This window comes from Homo sapiens, chromosome 7, assembly GCF_000001405.40.
Source record: "Homo sapiens chromosome 7, GRCh38.p14 Primary Assembly".
NCBI classification, from domain to species: Eukaryota; Metazoa; Chordata; class Mammalia; order Primates; family Hominidae; genus Homo; species Homo sapiens.
In genome coordinates, this window is record NC_000007.14 from 141586593 (window position 1) to 141606187 (window position 19595).

The 19595-nt window shown below is 37.7% G+C and overlaps 1 protein-coding gene across 4 annotated transcripts in view, besides 1 other annotated feature; it reads left to right on the forward strand.

Annotated features, from left to right (window-relative positions):
- AGK (acylglycerol kinase) overlaps window positions 1-19595 on the forward strand; it is a 103835-nt gene that overhangs the window by 35183 nt on the left and 49057 nt on the right. For all 4 annotated transcript variants that reach the window (XM_024446835.2, NM_018238.4, NM_001364948.3 and 1 more), the window contains exons 3-5: window positions 6554-6593; window positions 9970-10049; window positions 14613-14688. In XM_024446835.2, coding sequence (XP_024302603.1) covers window positions 6554-6593; window positions 9970-10049; window positions 14613-14688 — 196 coding nt within the window. The remainder of the gene's footprint in view (window positions 1-6553; window positions 6594-9969; window positions 10050-14612; window positions 14689-19595) is intronic.
- Window positions 557-1113: an enhancer, noted in NCBI's record as "NANOG-H3K27ac hESC enhancer chr7:141286949-141287505 (GRCh37/hg19 assembly coordinates)". NCBI's record gives its function as "activates a minimal SCP1, AML or CMV promoter by ChIP-STARR-seq in naive H9 embryonic stem cells {active_cell/tissue: H9 hESC(naive)}" and the evidence as "EXISTENCE:reporter gene assay evidence [ECO:0000049][PMID:30033119]".

A 19595-nucleotide genomic window follows, 5' to 3' on the forward strand; every position in this document is an offset into this window, starting at 1 on the left:
CAGTTTTTGTGTGGTGGGGTAAGGGCATGGGTTGTATTGTGCTTGGCCTTTTTTAAAAAGGAAGGGATAAAATGATCCAATCCTTGAAGATGTAAAGTTCGTTGTGTCTCTTAAGAACAGCAAAACATGCAGTTTGCCAAGAGCAGAAGCAGCATCAAGGGGGAATGGTGGAAGATAAGGAAAATTTTTCCTCAGTTATCTACCTGATTTTTCCTTTGACTTTCAAATGAAGTACAGGGTCATTTTATTTGAGATTCATTTGGTATTCTCTGTCAACTGTCCATGATCAGGGTATCTCTTCCTCCTACTTTTCACCCTACTCGTATAGATCATCATATCCACTCTCATTCCTTCTATCAACATGTAGCTAAGATTGCTATACAGAACTTCAGACCTGCATTTCCAGCTGTGGCCTAGACACCTCCACCCGGGTTCTCACCCCACCTCGGATAGACAGACCCAGAACTAAGCTCAGTTTCCTCTCTCTCACACTTGCACTTTCTGCTTCATTCCATCTCTGTGAATGGTACTGCCTTCCAGCAATTGCTTAATGCAGGATGTGGGCGCTATCTTTGACCCCTCACCTTTTCTTTAATTCCCACCAGCCATCCCTCAAATTTACCTCCTGAATATCTGTTGAGTCTGTCCTCTTCTCTGTGTCCCCTCTGCCACCATCCTAGTTCCAGTCATCATCACCGACTGTCACTGAGGGAGCCTCTGAAGTTTCACTAGATTCAGTCTTACCTCTGACCAATGCCTTCTTCACACACTGCAGCCAGAATAATCCCTCCAAAATGTAAACCTGGTCACATCAATTCTCTTAAAACCTGTTAATGGCTCCTTATGGCCCTTAGGGTAAAATCCAAATTACTTAAATAGCTGAAAATGTCCTTGGTGACCTGGCCTTTACTGGCTCCTCCCACAGCGGGTGGCCTCCAGCGGTTCCGAACTACTTTCTCTTTCCTAAATTGGCCATGTTCTAGCACTTGTACGCTTTGACATGCTGTTTCTCTTGCCTAGATTCTACTCCCTATTTTTGCCTGGCTACTTTTTATTTTTCCCCTAGATCTCAGCTTCAATGTCATATCCTGTAAAAAGCCTCTAATTCTCTCAAAACTAGGTTAGATGCCCCCATTATGTGCCCCTTTTATGGATTACCTAAAAGTGAAATTGCATCTTGATTACCTGTTGAATTGTCATCGTTCCCTACTAAACTATAAACTTCACTAGGACAGGGAATGTTGGGCTTATTCACCAGCGTGTCCAAGACACCCAGCACAGTGCCTGGCATATTATTTATCAAGAAACATGTTTTACTATGCCACCAATATTTACCAAGAGCTGTTCTTCTTTACCACTTGATCCTAAGCTTCTTCAGGGCAGGACCAAATCATATTTGTGTGCCATAGGCAGCACTTTGTGTTAAATGAGTTTGTTTCAACAACTACCTTCAGAAGCATTATTGCATCTGACCTTTTAAAAAATATTATGTGAGTGTGAATATAAATTGAAAAATTTAAATTAGATGAGACTATGCAATTTAAAAAATGTGCTATAAAACATACAACTAAATGAGTAATTGCCCATTGAGTATTGTCTGAAGTTTAGAAGAAAAAGCATCTGCTTTCCGACCCTACTGTTAGCAGAAAGGGGTCCCAATCCAGACCCCAAGAGAGGGTTCTTAGATCTTGCACAAGAAAGAATTCAGGGCGACTCCATAGAGTGAAGTGAAAGCAAGTTTATTAAGATAGTAGGCCAGGCACAGTGGCCACACCTGTAATGCCAGCACTTTGGGAGGACAAGGCAGGCGGATCATGAGGTCAGGAGTTCGGTTCAAGATCAGCCTGGCCAACATGGTGAAACCAATACAAAAATTAGCTGGGTGTGGTGGTGCACACCTGTAATCCCAGCTACTTGGGAGGCTGAGGCAGGAGAATCACTTGAACCCGGGAGATGGAAGTTTCAGTGAGCCGAGACAGCGCCACTGCACTCCAGCCTGGGGGACAGAGTGATACTTCGCCTCGGAAAAAAAAAAAAAGAAAGTAAAAGATTAAAAGGTTGACTACTCCATAGGCAGAGCAGCAGCATGGACCACTCAGGTGCTTATTCTTGTTACTTCTTGATTATATGCTAAACAGGGGGTGGATTATTCATGAGTTTTTTCAGAAAGGGATGGGCAATTCCCAGAACTGAGGATTCCTCCCCTTTTTAGACCATACAGTGTAACTTCCAGATGTTGCCATGGCATTTGTAAACTGTCATGGTGCTGGCAGGAGTGTCTTTTAGCATGCTAATGTATTCTAATTAACATATAATGAGCAGTGAGGACACTAGAGATCACTCTCATCGCCATCTTGGTTTTGGTGGATTTTCGTTGGTGTCTTCACTGAAGGTTGTTTTATCAGCAAGGTCTTTATCAGCTATATCATATGCCGCCCTCCTATCTCATCCTGTGACTTAGAATGCCCTACCTCCTGGGAATGCAGCCCAGTAGGTCTCAGCCTCTTTTTACCCAGCCCCTACTCAAGATGGAGTCACTCTGGTTCAAATGCCTCTGACACTTACCACTTAGTAACTCTGTGTTTTTGGGCACGTCACTTTCCTTCTCTGAGTCTTGGCTTCCTAATATGTAAAATGAGAATATTTTCTGTTACCTGATAATGCCTACCTTGCAAGGTTGTTACAAAGATTAAAGGTTTATGAAAACAACTGCCATAGTACTTGGTACAAGGTAGTTGCTCTATGAATTTTAAGTTTTGTCTTTTATTCTGACAATGCTGATATTACTGAAATATTTTTGGAATTTCTTTGCTGAGATAGTTTTCAGAGCTTGCTATAGATCATCAGACTATCTCAATGGGAGAAATCTTTTTTCTTTGAGGATGTGTTTGATTTTTAGGAATAGTCGGGTTCAGATAGCAAGATCAAGATGGTTAACACCATTTTTGATATTAAACAAAGTTAAGTATGATTTTTTTTTTTTTTGAGATGGAGTTTCGCTCTTGTTGCCCAGGCTGGAGTGCCATGACGCGTTCTCGGCTCATTGCAACCTCCGCCTCCTGGCTTCAAGCGATTCTCCTGCCTCAGCCTCCCAAGTAGCTGGGATTATAGGCATGTGCCACCATGCCTGGATAATTTTGTATTTTTAGTAGAGACGGGGTTTCACCATGTTGGTCAAGCTGGTCTCGAACTCCCGACCTCAGGTGATCCGCCCATCTCGGCATCCCAAAGTGCTGGGATTACAAGCATGAGTCACTGTGCCAGACCCAAAGTTAAGTATGATTATAATGAGATCTTCTTTTGTAATATCAAAATTGGAACATATTCTGGCTCTCTCACAGGTGGCATTGACAGGATATTCCATTTGGCACATTAAATTCAGGGAATTAACTATCACAAAATCTTTTTATTTTGAATAGCATTCTGATAAATTAATCAAAATTAATAAACTCAGGAGAGCTGAAATCTTTAATAATATATTTAATCACAAGCTAATAATCAGAATTTTACTTCTAGCAACAAAGAACTTAGGGAAAAAAATGATCTAAGGTGCTACCCCATATTCTTGTGCATATTCAGGGCTATTGTCTTTTCAGCTAGGTCCATGGAAATCAGTGTGCCTGAGTTGTGGCAAGGGTAATGTTCTTTATTAATAGCCCAGAGGAGCCTGTTGCCTTTTGGAGACCTGTCCTTCATAGTAGAGGAGGAGCCTGGAAATGGGCAGGATATAGAGATGGGATTGTAGCTTTTACAGAAGCATAGAGGGCTTGTGCAGAAAAAATCCACAGGGCGAGTTTTTAGGAGAGATTGGAGGTACAAGGTAATTAGTCTACTAAAGGAAAGCATTGAAAGCAGTGGCCGGTGGGAGCACAGTCCGGAGAGGCTGGAAGCTGCGTTCCCAGGGCCTGTGCAAGTTGGACTAGGGGTCAGCACAGTCCAGGGGGAGGGTCAGTGACAATGCCCAGGTTACTATGAGGAACCTCATATTATTTTGTTATCCAGAGGTTACTGTGGGTTCAGTGTTTTACCTCTTTATTGTATATAAGGTCATAAATGCAAAGTATCCAGTAAGCTATAAGGAGTTAGTGACATGTTAATTATTTTCAAGATATTTCGCTAGTTTCTACCCTGAATTTACCTCATCTTGTATATTTTTGTTGTTGTTACTGATGTTAGAATGATTCAGTGAGAGCATTTGATTGGGAGGGACGCAAGAAGAAAAGTGAAACATGAATATGTGTTATTTCCTGTGGGTCATTCAAAAAAACATGAATATTTGTGAATACTGGGTGTGGAGGAAGAGAAGGTTGCACAACGCTCTTTGCCACCTGGGCACAGGGGAGCAGAGTCACTTAAGCCAATGGGGACTGGGCTGACTTGTGCTGGATTTCACAAGGGGTGAGTCTCCTGAAAATCTTTGTTATCAAACAACATCAGCTTTTGGGGTACTGATGTCATGATAATTTCAGTAAAACATGGTTCTTAAGTTGTTTTTTTTTTTTTTTTTTTTTTTTTTTGAGACAGAGTCTCACTCTGTAGCCCCAGGCTGGAGCGCAATGGCGTGATCTTGGCTCAATGCAACCTCCACCTCCCGGGTTCAGGCAATTCTCCTGCCTCAGCCTCCCGAGTAGTTGGGATTACAGGCATGCACCAGCATGCCCGGCTAATTTTTATATTTTTAGTAGAGACGGGGTCTCACCATGTTGGCCAGGCTGGTCACGAACTCCTGACCTCAAGTGATCTGCCCACCTTGTCCTCCCAAAGTGCTAAGATTACAGGTGTGAGCCACTGTGCCCTGCGGTTCTTAGGTTTCAGATTTCAGATTCACAGCGTCCATACTTCCCTGTGGATGGTGTTCTCTTAGTGAAGCCGCCTGCTTTGTGAACTTCAGGGGTTGTTTTGCAGCCTGGCTATGGAATCACTGAGCAGCAGCCTTTGACAGCAACTCTGGCAAAAAGCAAAGCTTGCTTATTGTTTTTCATTCACTGTAAATGTCAAATCACCCAGAAGAGCCTGTTGCCTTTTGAATTCCTGTGAAAATGCAAAATTTAAAGTTTTCAATGTTATAAAAAAAGTCTAGAAAGAGAATATAAGCAAAATAACCTTTTTTCAAGTTTTTCTATAAATTGGTTATTGTTCATCTTTTCTGGGTATTTGATTTCTTAACTTTTGTTAACCACATTGAAGTTACTATCTTAGCAGTGCCAGCAATGTGCATTAGCACAAGCTCTTAGATGAAGATTCTGGAGCCCCGGAGGTGACTGGAGCCATTTAAAATGCTTTTATGGTAGAAACCTATTTTAGAGACCTTGACGTTAAATAGGTGATCACATTCTGACAGAATGCTTTCATTTTTGGAAGCCAAAATTTTGCCTCATGACAAAATTCTCCATTTATGATTTATTGTCTGACAGTGATATAAAAAACAAGTGATTTAGATAAGACAGTAGCAGAAGAAACTTAATATCAAATTTACTTGTGGCAAATGACCTAATTTCCACTGGGTAAGAAAAATGCAGGATATGTATATTAGTTTTCTGTTGTTACCTTAACAAATTACCACAAATTTAGTGGTTCAACACACCACAAATTTCTTGTCTTGCATTCTGTGAATTAGAGGCCCAAAGCAGCTCTCACTGGGCTAAGACAAAGTGTGGCAAGGGCTATGTTCCTTCTGGAGGCTCTAGGGGAGAATCCTTTTGCTTTTCCAGCTTCTAGAGGCCACCACATTCCTTGACTCTCTTCAGAGCCTTCTTCCATCTTCGCAGCTGGCAAAGTTGCATTTTTCTGACCATTCTTCCATAATCACGTCTGCCTCTGATCACAACCACGAAACTCTCTGTTTTGGGACCTTTGTGGTTAGATTGGGCCCATCTTGGATGATCCAGGACGATCTCCCATGTCAGGGTCCTAAGTTGAATCATGTCTGTAAAATCCCTCTTGCCATGTAAAGTAACATATCCTCAAGTTCTGAGGATTCGGATGTGGAAATTTTGGGGGGATGTGGCATTATTCTGGTTACCATAATATGGAAATATTTAACACAGACTTTTATTCGGAGGATGTATTTTTCAAATGTGATGATAAGTTGTTATCAGGTTTTTTTTGTTTTTTTGTTTTTTGTTTTTTTCAGCAGAGTCTCGCTCTGTCGCCCGGGCTGGAGTGCAATGGCATGATCTCAGCTCACTGCAACCTCTGCCTCCCAGGTTCAAGCGATTCTCCTGCCCCAGTCTCCCGAGTAGTTGGGATTACAGGCACCCACCACCATGCCCGGCTAATTTTTGTATTTTTGGTAGAGAGGAGGTTTCACCATGTTGGCCAGGCTGGTCTCGAACTCCTGACCTCAGGTGATCTGCCCACCTCAGCCTCCCAAAGTGCTGGGATTACAGGCGTGAGCCACCATGCCCGGCCTGTTATCAGGTTTTTAAGGAACTTTCACTGGGGTGTTTTTAGAGAAGAGGTGCCTATATTAAAAAATTAAAAAGCTCACAAATTTTGTTTGGATCATAATCTATTAAAGCTAATGATTATTCTCTTTTGCTTACTTTGATAGTGATAACCTCCTAAGGAGAGCAGCCTGTCAAGAAGCTCAGGTAATACTACTTAATGTGATAAAATTAAGCCCCTCCTTATCTTCATTGTGCAGAAAACTTAAGCTCTTTCAGGGGACTTGCACAGTGTCTTGCATCTGTGCAGTCTGGCTATTTTTTAGCACTATCAGGATGAATCACGCTGGGAGCCAACTCTGAGTAGAACTCCAGGAAGTTAACCATCTGGTGAAGAGCAGTTCTGACGCCCACCCCTATAGACTGTTTGTTTCTGGATTGGTCCCAAGAACACAGAACTGGACTGGTAGAAGCTCTGGGAATTTGTTTGTGTCTGCAGTTGTCTTTGTAGATTTGTCTAACCCCTGAATCATCCCTGATCTGAATAACCCCCAAGGATATCAGTTCAGAGCAAGTGTTACCTCTAAAAGTCAAATCTTCTTAAAATTGTTGATTCATATTTTTAAAGCTCATCTCCAAGTTCAACTGATCCATATCATGTACACTGTTATATTCCATGAGATTTTACTTAAATATTCATTTATATGGCTAATTATAGCTGGATTATAATATTTGTCCTTTCAAATATAAGACAGCATTTTTGCCCCCCCACTGCAAAAATGTGCATTATACCTTGCAGATGAAATTCTGAGACTGAGTTGCCTTTTTGTTTTATATCATTTGAGCTTATGATGTCAGAAATACCAAAATAGAAACATGAAAATCAAAAGTGGCAAATGTGTGAAGCATTTAGTAATAAAAATAGGTGGCAGACCTCATGTTTGTTTCTGAAATGTTTTAATGGATGACAGTGAGAATAGATACTATAAATTAATTCCTCTCTTTAGCGATTGTTACAATAGATACTATAAATTAATTCCTCTCTTTAGCAGTTGTTACAGTATATACTATAATTCCTCTTTTTAGCGATTGTTATCTAGCTGTTCTAAACCTGTGTTTTACGAATTTGATTACTTCTTTGTTTAAATGTATTATCTTTCATATGGCTCTAAGTTGTTTTGGAAATCAATTCAAATAAACTTTAATATTAAATTAAAGGTGATCCCCGTCCCAAGCCAATCATTAGCGACTGGAAAATCTTCCTGGAGTACAGTGGTGTGATGTTGGCTCACTGCAACCTCTGCCTCCTGGGTTCAAGCGATTCTCCTGCCTCAGCCTCTTGAGTAGCTGGGACTACAGGCACACACCACCATGTCCAGCTAATTTTTGTATTTTTAGTAGAGATAGGGGTTCTCCATGTTGGCCAGGATGGTCTCCATCTCAACCTCGTGTTCCACCTGCCTTGGTCTCCCAAAGTGCTGGGATTACAGGTGTGAGCCACCACACCTGGCCCCTTTCTTTCTCTCTTTAAGGAAGAGTAGACCTGTGTGATTGTAGGGCCCTCCCTTTCTTGTTGAAAGTAAATGCCTCCACCTCTGTTCTAAATTCTCTCTCCTCATACTTTTTCAGGGATGATGTTCCTTTAGTTATTTTCTCCTTCTCATGTATTTCTTTCTTTCTTTCTTTCTTTTTTTAGACGAGTCTCGCCCTGTTGCCCAGGCTGGAGTGCAATGGCACAATCTCAGCTCACTGCAACCTCCGCCTCCCAGGTTCAAGTGATTCTCTTGCCTCAGCCTCCTGAGTAGCTGGAATTACAGGCACATGCCACCAAGCCTGGCTAATTTTTGTATTTTTAGTAGAGACGGGGTTTCACCATGTTGGTCAGGCTGGTCTCGAACTCCTGACCTTGTGATCCACTCGCCTTGGCCTCCCAAAGTGCTGCAATTACAGGTGTGAGCCACCTTGCCTGGCCTTATTTCTTTCTATTCTAATTCTCCACTTCCCCTGCATGTTTAGTTCCTTCCATCTCACAAATGGAAGTGGATCTGTCCTTATAGCCTCAGCTGGCTAATTTTCCTATCTGTGTACTTCCTTTTACAGTCTAAATTCTTGAAAACATGATATTTAATAACAAATCTCACATAAACTTAATGTAGTCTCACATAAACTCCTTAGCTCACTGTGAATCTGAGATTTGATTTGCAAGTAGGTACCAACTTTAGACACTAAGAAATGAGGGCAAGGAGGAATAATCTTACTACCATAGGTGTGGAATCTGATAGGCCAGAGAGAATGGTTAGTGATATCATTTCTGCCACATTCCAGAAATAGTATAGATAGAAAAAGGAAAAATTACAGTATTTGGAGATTTAGCAGCAAAATGTTAAAGTCTAAGTAAGAATGAAAACAGAATAGAAATTATAATGTTCCAGAAACTTCTTACAAAGAAATAGTCTGTCTTTTTCTCTACTTCAGAAAAAAAGTATTTTTGTTTTTGTTTTTGTTTTTAAAGCAAGCAATAGACAATAATAAGAAAGGCTCCAAAATGAACTGTCAGGGAGATAGCAGATTTAGAGTAAGTTATTCAATAAAAAATATTTGCATTACTTTTTTTCCTCCTCCTATCTTTACTTTGTACTTCCATACTAGAATTCTGCTTTGTTGGTTCAGGCCACCTCCCACCATTCAAGACCCCAATTTTTGCCCATTTTGGTACTTTCCTATTCTTTTTGTTGACATCATTTCCAATTCAGACATAATAGCAAGAGTTCCCATTCATTTCTCATTTGGACTCCTCACATCTAGTCCTCTGCCTTTTAATTCTACCTCATCCTTGATCCTCTCTTTAGAGCTTAGAGAGGCTTTGGAATTAGAAGATGTGTATTCCAGGCTTGTAATTGATCAACTCTGTGACTTTCAGGAACTTAATCTTCCTGATTCTGGACTTTCTAATCTGGAAAACTGAGATTATTTTATACCTCCTTGGTTTCTGAGAACTAAGAATAATGTGTGTAAAAATGTCAAATAAAAGGTGCTTGGTATATATTAGTTATGTTTCTTTTCCCCTGCCAGTTGCTGCTATTTAGTTATCATACAGGGTTGCAAAGAAGAGAAGGCAAATAGAGTATTCGGTTTATTTTGTATGTGTGTAAACATATGAAGATTAACTGGTAACACAAAGATTCTTCATGAACAAATTTTAGTAATGAGCTGGAAAGAATATTGTACTCTGAAAACTAAAGACATAGATTAAACTTCTCTCCTGACAGACTATGGCCTTACTAATTATATGTTATAATAAACCTAGCTATATCTTATAGAGAAAATAAATGTTATTTGCCTCTAGTAGATAAAGCAGGATTTTTTTATTCCAATACAAAATACAGCTTATTGTCATTAAATAATGTTACTTTTTGTTGTTGTTGATGGTGTTTTCGTTAATATGAGATCATGAAAGAATATTTTTCCCCAAGGGTAGATACCTTATGTGCTGCAAGTACATTTTTTTTGGAATGAAAGAATACATGTGACATTTACCAAATAAATGGACTTTTACTGAAAACTTTGCTCTTTTCTTTTTTAGGTGTTTGGCAATCAACTCATTCCTCCCAATGCACAAGTGAAGAAGGCCACTGTTTTTCTCAATCCTGCAGCTTGCAAAGGGTAGTTCCGTTTGTGACTTGTTATATACTTGCTTTTTCTAAGGGGGAAAGAAATCACAGACTATCAGGCAGCTAGTGAGATTGTGTGGAATTGGAAGAACTAGGTTTAGTACTCTTCTAGCAATAAGATTCATTTGTAATGTAGAAATAACAGTTAAATGAGAAATAACTATAAAACTAATGGATGCTTAGCAAACTTGTCTAATTGAAGTTTAATAATCATTCCATGATTAACACCTACAAAGATGTCTTATTTGCTTGGAAGTAGTCCCCTCGGGAGCGACTGCTGTACTGCTAGGACGTAAATCCTTAGGCCATCTCTGTCCACAGGATGTTCAGAAATGGCCAAGAATACTGTGGGCTTGGGAGATCAGAAATGTTCTTTCCAAAAGAGATGATCCTTGAGCTAGACCTGGGAGGAAGCAGGCAGGAGAAGACTACCCATTCTTCTCAGCTGAGGAAACAGCCCATGGGACAGGGGCCTGGAGACAGGAGTGACCTAGTTATGGCTTTGTTATGACACAGGACAGCCTTTAACTGAACTGGCTGGCCTGGAAATGTCATGTGGGAATTGTGGGAATTAAGGTGTGAAGAATTGTTGAGACTTGGGTATATAATGATTTGATCATGGCAGTTCATTGATTATACAAATGAACCACACTAAAACGTGGAGAGGCTGTATGTGGGGGTGGGGAGTGGGTGTGTGGAGACTCAAAGTCTGTTAAGGAAAAATAAATAGGCAAAACTTTTTTTTACAATGTTAGATGTAACTATTATTCAATTGGAAAGGTGAATACAAAGACCTTGATGGCTTTAGAATAAATAATTAACATTTTATTTTGAAAAAATAGTCAGAATTAAAGGGTTGAGTGTTAAAAAGTGATATCTCTTATGTCCCTAATGTCGAGAACAATTCTTTTTGGCTTTTTGGGAATCAGAAAATTAGCAGTTTGGGTGCAGTGGTTCACGCCTGTAATCGCAGCACTTTGAGAGCCTGAGGTGGGCAGATCACTTGAGCCCAGGAGTTTGAGACCAGCCTGGGTAACATGGTGAAACTCTGTCTCTACAAAAATACAAAAATTAGCTGAAAAAATGCAAAAATTAGACACACGTGGTAGCATTTACCTGTAGTTGCAGCTACTTGGGAGGCTGAGGTGGGAGGATCACCTAAGCCCAGGAGGTCGAGGCTGTAGTGAGCCATGATCGCGCAACTGCAGTCCAGCCTGGGCAATAGAGTGAGACTCTGTCTCAAAAAAAAAAAAAAAAAAAAAAAAAAAAAGAAAGAAGAAAGAAAATTAGTAAATATGTATTAAATTGGATTCTATAAGATCTAAGTCAAGTGACATTAAGGTAATAAGAACAACAACAAGAAAGATAGTTTGGGCTGAATTGTAAGTGGTAGGCATAATGTTGTCTGGAGTAAAACACAGGGTCTCTGAAGTCAGTTTTTCTAGTCATTTCTTGAGAGGCAGTGAGTGTGACTTCACAGACAGGAGGACACATCCTGCTTTATTTCTTTGTAATTCAGTGGTTTAATTCAGATTGTCTAAACAGACTATTCTGCCTAACTGAATCATATCTGCTGGGCTTTGTTAGAGCCGCTTCCCTCCCCCATAAACGCACCAGTCATAATGCCTATTGATCATTTTTGTTTAATATCAATACTAAATCATGCCAACAAATCAACAAGCCCTAATATAACACAGTCAAAATACCTAAGATAAGTAAATTGTCAGTGGTGGCCCGTGGCTGAAGATAACAGAGAACTCAGCCTGGGTCTGGGAGTTTGAGGAATCTGGTCTGTTTACTGTTTTGCCACTTACTAGCTCTATGATATTGTGGGAGTTAATTCACTTCTTAAATCCCCAGTTTACTCATCTGTAAAATCAGAAAGGCAATAGTACATACTTTAAAAATTATTATGTGGAATAGGGACCTTTGGTATTAAATGAGATAATGCTTATTAGGCACTATTTCCATTTCATAATAAGCACACAATGTAAGAAATATAAACTGCTGAAATTGTTACTCTTGACTATGGGTTAGGTTCAGAACAGTCTTCACTTCGCTATCCCATCCTTCCCAGAAGCTCTTGTACCTCTCCTTCGACCTACTTCAGTGTAACTCTTCTATTCCTTTAGAGACCTAATAAATTAACAACCTGCTAATTTCTGATGAAACTTATGGCAATTTGTTTAAGCAATAACCAGTTATTTTGAGTTCCTGCTTCTAAGAGGTATCTACATTTTTAAAATTAATAAGCAAATTTTTCAGAGCAATTTTAGGGTCTTTTTACATGTAAATATATTTGCATTTTTAAAGGTAGATTCTTGTTTAAAACTATAACATCTTTATCTAAAGGTAAGCTAAAATACTGCCACTGAAGGAAAGTCTTTTCTAAAGGTGTTGTCTCCTTTAACAAGGTGAAGAATCCCTGCGTGCTTCTGGGAAAGTCTGAAACTCTCCAGCATCCTTTCTTTTTTTCTTTTAAAAGCTTTCACTATTTAATTGCACTATTTTTGTCATCATAGCTCTGTCCTGACACATAATTTATAATTTATCATGTAGCTATTTCATTATGTAGTACTGGTTTAAAACTACATAAGAGCTTTAAGAAATAAGATAACTGTGTGTTTAGCATTAATAAATAATACATAAAAGAGTAATTATTTTTTGTATGTGCCTGAGTCTGGAAATTGCTAAAAGTACCTAAGGTTTTTATTTAGCCTCGGTGTTATCTCACCCTTAATTATGTAATAAATAATTTATTTCTTATTAGTAACACTTGTTTTTCAATCTTTTATATAGAAAATTAGAAGGAAAAAAGTCTTCACCTTCATTTTAGAGGTTTTCTGAACTTATAACATCATATAAAGATGTGAATAAAGACCCAAATATTCTAACCTGATTTCTTAAACTAACTCAGAGGAGGTTACAGATTTGTTGTGATTGATATGGCAGATTGAGACTTCTTCAGAATTTTGCTTTTAGGAAATAGATCTGATCCACTTCCAACTGATCCTTTCCTATCAATCTAGTAATGAAAGCAACCCTGGAAGGAGAATTGTTTGCAGTACCACTAGCTCAGTGCTTTAATGTTGGGTTAAGCCCCCAGAAATGGTGAGCTGGAAAGGAGAAATTATCATTTACCCTTTTATGTTCATTCTAATAATCATTCAGAGCAGTAGAAAGGTAGAAAATATTTAATTTGCTTATAATACACTCAGGCCCTTGGTTTGAGATATTCTTTTGGATGGTTCTTGTGAAAATTTGTGCAAGCCTCTCAATTTCTATTTTAATTCACAATAAGAAGTGATTTGTGTTCTATATGCCATTTGGTGGTTCTTTTTAGTTTAAAGAATATTGAGCTTGGCCTGTGCATAACTATACGTGTTCCTCATTAGCTGCCTTTGTAGCTGAATATAAAATGTCTCTTCTATAAAATATCCTTAAATTCTTGTATAAAGTATCCTTAAGGTCAAAGGATACAGCCTTAGTTTAAAAATAAGACAGAGGACTGAGTAAATGTGGATATAAAAGTTAGGTGTTTGACATTGATTGAAAGTACTGGATTTTTTTTTCCTTATGTAATAGTTGAAATATTTGAGTAAAAGGTCAACTAATTGGTATGTTTTAACATTAGTTTGACTTTGAGACTATGCCATTGGTGGAAGAGATTGTTTTGCAACTTCTGTGTCCCTGGATTCCTAGACTGTGTTTTTGAATTCTGACCTGAATTGGACAAGAGTTCACTGTCAGAATGATATGCATAATACTTTTGAAATATGCAAACTCTTTGAAGGCTGTTTTTTCTCTTCTTATAAGACATCGTGTTGTTTCCTTTTCCTCAGAATTTACATGTCTACATTTGGGGCAGGTTTATTCATTCGTTTGTGCATTAATTCATCAGATACTTAGTAAGTACTTTCTAATTGTGCCATACATAATCCTAGAGGTCAGGGGATTCAAGGATTAATAAGATTTGGTATTTATTTTTAGAACGCTTCCAGTCTAGTCCTGACAACAGTCTTGGAAGTCTCTAATCACCATACAGTATGAAAGTCACTAACAGAGATGTGTATAAGGTACTAGGGGAGCACAGAGAGGGCATGACTGTGCCTGGGAGTTTCAGACTAGCTTCTGGTGAATTAGTAGTTTGGTCTGCTTTGTTATGTTGTATTCCTAGCTCCTCCACCTGTGTCTATCACACAGTAGGTGCTCAATGAATACTTGAGTGAATCAAGCATTGTTGCCTGAATGGAACCATATCTAGTGTTCGTTCTTCCCCTAGAGGAACTACTTTGTGAACTATAAGCCTCCCAAATGGATAAGAGCTTATTGCATTAGATAAACAGCAAATTCTCAAAGGCCCCAGAGTTTAAGGTTCTATTTTTCCATTCATATTAACTCATTACTTGTTGTTAAACTTTCTGTGCTTGAACAAATAAAGGAAACCCGTATTGCATAGTCTTTCTTATTCTGCCCTGAAGAAGATTGTAAGGCTTTTTGTTCTTGCTCTTGATAACCTGTGTTAAAATGTTTATATTTTTTCCTTTGTTAACAGAAAAGCCAGGACTCTATTTGAAAAAAATGCTGCCCCGATTTTACATTTATCTGGCATGGATGTGACTATTGTTAAGGTAAGAATGGCTCCTGAATGTTTATTTCACCCAAGCAGCTGCCTCTTATAACAACCTCTTCTCTTGGCTTCTTAGCAAAAATTGCTTGTCACAAGAGCAAAGAAATTAATGTTGTATCCTGTTCTGACAATTAATAAATGTAGTTTTGTTTTTTTCCAAATAGTGTCAGCTTTTCATTTTCAGAATAGGATTGGATGGAGGCTTGGAGAACTTGACACCTTTCATCTGAGAGATAGGATGTGGAATTACATCTCTTGGAAGATGAAAGTTGTTATAGCTGTAAGAATTCTTTTCCTGAAAATACACAACCTTCAAGTCTGAGTAATTAATTTAATTTCTTAGTAGTTCCACAAACAGGTAAACCATTTTCTCTCTGGTAAGGAATTATCTTTGGTGAAGAATTTTAAATGGTAAAGCTTTAGAATTTGTGAGATTTAGTTAAGAAGAAAAGGAGGCAAGCATAAATTACAAGGAATTGTACTATTTCGAAGATGCAGGACTCTACTTGTTGAATTTTAAATGAGATATATGTGGGTAAGTACATACATGTGTATATAGTGAAAACCTCTCTTACTGTGGTTATAAGTCTGTTGACCAATTTCTAATATTGTACACTTCCAGGAAATCATAGAAGTTAAAAAGGATCATTTAGTCTAGTTTACCATGCAATGTTGAACCCTCTTTTCCAACTTTTCTGTCATGATTTTCCAGTTGTTTGCCCCCGGGGGTAGGAGAAAGGGGAAGAAAACTAACATATTTGAGTACCTGTAATGTGGCAGGTATGAGAGACCCAAGTATGGTTATGTGAGACTGATGTTTGTTTCTTCAATGATTGGTGAAACTCACAGCTAAAACCATCTGGATCTGGAGCTTTCCTTGAGGGGAGATTTTCTTGTGTGTGTGTGTGTGTGTGTGTGTGTGTGTGTGTGTGTATGTAGAGACAGGAGCTCACTATGTTGCCAAGGCTGGTCTTGAACTCCTGGACTCAAGTGATCCCCCCCACCTTGGCTTCCCAAAGTACTGGGATTATAGGTGTAAGCTACCATGCCCAGCCTTTTTTACCTTTTTTAAATTTTTAATGTACATTAAATTTCTTTAACAGTTCTAGAAGTACTCAGGTTTCATTCTTCACTTAATTTTTGTAAGGTAAATTCTTCAAGGAATTTGTTTCATCTAAATTTTCAAATTAATTGACATCAGGTTGTTCATAATATCTTCTATTTAACTTTTAAATTTCTATAGCATATGTAATGTCTCATTTTCATTCTCAATATTGTTTATTTGTACCCTCTCTTTTTCCCCTCAGTAATCTTGTGAGAGGTTTGTCAATTTAGCCCTTGCCAAGAACCGTTTTTTGGCTTATTGATCCTCTCATTTATATGTTTCATTCATTTCTGATCTTTTTTTATTGTTTCATTCATTCTACTTTTTAAAAAAATTTTTCTGCTGTGCTTTTTCTGACATTTTAACTTCATTGCTTATTTCATTTTTACCTTCCTTTCTTATTGTATGTATTTAAGCTACAGATCCACTCTACTGCTTCAGCTGCATCCTATACTTTTTGATGCATAATATTTTTATTATTTATTTTTAAATATTTTCAAATTTTCCTTGTGATTTTTCTTGATCTATGTGTTTTTGAATTTCCAAATCTAAAGTTTTTCTGATTGTCTTTGTTAATGATTTCAGACTTAATTGCATTTTGGCCAAAAAATGTAGTCTATAAAATTCTAGTATTTTAAAGTTTGTTGAAATTTGTTTTATGGTCTAACATGTGCTCTGTTTTCATAAATGTTGTATCTATGCCTAAAAATAGTATATATCAGTTATTGGGCACTATATTCTATATATGTTCATTAAGTCAAGTCTGTTAATTGTGTGGGTTCAAATCTTCTATGTCCTTACTGATTTTTTCTTCTGTTTTAACTATATAAATTCTCAAGAGGGGGTATTAGAAATCTCCCACTGTAATTGTGGATTTGTCTATTTCACTACATAGATTTGTCCATTTTTGCATTTTGTATTTTGAGACTTAGGTCATTAGATGCACTAAAGTTTCAGATTATTTCATTTTTCTTACATTTCGACCCTGTCATAGAATAACTATTTTTAGCACAAATACTGCCTTTTGTGATAGTCTATCTTATCTAGTACTATTGGTAATTTATACTAGCTTGCTTATTTTTAGTTTTTGCCTGGTATCATTTTTATATCCCTTTATTTTTATCTTTTTTCTCTCCTGAGATTTTAGATGTATTGTTGATAAAAGCATGAAAGCAGGATATTGTAAAGCCCATTTTCTCATCTTTTGACTTGACTGTTTAATTCATTCCAACATTCTATACCAGTTATCTATTGCTACAGAACAAAAGGCCTCACTGTTTTTCTGCTTATGATTCCATTGGTCAGTAGTCTCGCCTGGGCTCATAGTGGCATGGCTGAGGAAGGGTGGTCTTCGATGGCTTTACTCACGTCTCCAAGTTGATGCTGGCTGTCCCCTGGCTCATGTTGTCTCCACTATGTATCTTGACATGGTAGCTCGGTTCCCTGAAGTCAGTTACAGATATCCTCTAATTTTATCCCTAAATACTTTTATGTGTATTTTTAAACAAATAAGAATACTTTTATATTTATCTACAGTGCCATTTTCATACTTAGGAAAAGTAGCGATTCTCTTTTATCATCTTACACTGTCTAACCCCATCTTATACTATCAAATGTCCTGTGACTCATGTATTTGTGATTTTTTCCAGTTTAAGATACTTATCAATTATATGCAAGTACTAATATGTACATTACATATACAGAAAATAGACATTTAGAAGGATGAGATTAAAAAATAAATAGAAATACTAATGTTTACTTTTTATGCCTCAGTAGAAACCACTACTCTTTACAGGGTTTGTTTTCTTTCTTTTGGATTAGCTTTTATTTTGAAATAATCTCAAACTTATAAAAAAAATGTACAGGAATATACAAATTCCCATATCACTTACCCAAACTCCTCAAATACTGTATTAACATTTTACCATGTTTACACATGCTCTCTCTTTACATGTATGTGTGTGCATATGTATGAATGTGTGTGTGTGTGTATATATATATATATATATATATATATATACACATACATACACACACACACATATTATTTTCTGGCTTGTTTGAGAGTAAGTTTCAGAAATAATGTTCCTTTATCTCTAAATATCTATATCCTAAAAACAAGGGCACTCTCTTATATAACTGCAAGAACAGTTATCAAAATCAAGAAATTAACATTGATGTACTATTATCTTGTAGAATTTTTTTTTTTTTTTTTTTTGAGACAGAGTCTCACTCTGTCACCAGGCTGGAGTGCAGTGGCATGATCTCATCTCACTGCACCCTCCGCCTCCCGGGTTCAAGCGATTCTCCTGCCTCAGCCTCCTGAGTAGCTAGGATTACAGGTGCGTGCCACCACACCCAGCTAATTTTTGTATTTTTAATAGAGACAAGGTTTTACCATGTTGGCCAGGATGGTCTCGATCTCTTGACCTCGTGATCTGCCTGCCTCGGCCTCCAATTGTTCCATGAATGCCATTTATAACAAAAGAAAAAACACTTTTTCTTGTTCTGCATCCAATCTGGGATCACATATTGTATTTAGTTGTGATATTTGTTTAGGCAACTTTAAAAAATTCCTCAATTTTTTTTTTTTTAAGAACGTCCTTCAGTTTGGGTTTATCTACTGTTTTGTTATAATTAGATTCAGATTATGTAGTTTAGTGGAAGTACCACAAAATGTTGTGTCTTTCTCAATGCATAATATATGTATGACAGTCCTGTGAATTCTTTAAATTAAATTTTTAGCTTGAGATTTTTCAGATTATCCAGGTAGCACGCATTTCGGTTACTTATGTAAGGACTAGCCTAAAGTTATGGATTCTCAGGGAAGATGTTTATCCCTTCATTTAGCACCAAATTTCAGAACACGAAAGTTTCTTTGCAGTGCCCTGGGAATCGTCGAGGAGTATGAGTGAGTCAACCCCGCTTTTATTCTCTCTAAACTGCACATGCAGTCTTTTGGGTCCTGGTTTATAGTGGGATGTGGTTCTGTACTAGATTCACTAATCTTGAGCAGGTCCTGGGATTTTTGTTTGCTTTTCCTAGAACCTGGTGAAGCTTTGAAAACCAACATTCAGATCTACCTGGTTTACTAGATGCCCTCAGAACATTTACTGCATAGGTGCTAGTTTTATATTTAGTGTTCCTTACTTTATTCTCGTTTATTGATGCATCAAAGATGTTTTCATTATTTTACTCAGTAGCTTTAATTTTCAGTGGCAGGGTACCTAGCCTACCATTCTTTTAGAAATGGAATTGTAGCACTTCACATAGCTGGTTTTATTTAAGTCACATAAAGCTCAGTGAAGTTGAGTGTTATCATCTTTATTTTGTGAATGAGGAAATTGAAGATACAAACATCTAGAAACCTGCTCAGTTATACAATTAGTAGTGACAAAACTCATTTAAACCTAGGTCTGTCGACTCTAAGGCATGTGCTTTCTACCTTAGGCTTTGTCTCCCATTTGACATGAAAGCTCCAAGACAACCTATTTCATCTTAGGATAGCACTATTAGAATATTCTTCCTAATTTTGAGAAGAAATCTGTTTCCCAAGAGTTTTTACACATAGATCAGTGGTTTTCAACTCTGGCTGAATATCAAATTACCTGGAAATGTTTAAAAATGTAAGTCGTACCCAGGTCACACTCCCTAGATATAACTAATGTGGAGTGGAGTCTGTCTGTATTTACAAAATAATTTCATTCATTCATTTACTTGTTCATTTGTTTATTCATTCCCAGGTGATTATAATGTGTAGTTGGATTGAGAATCATAGACTTCAGGCTTGGTTCTATCCCATG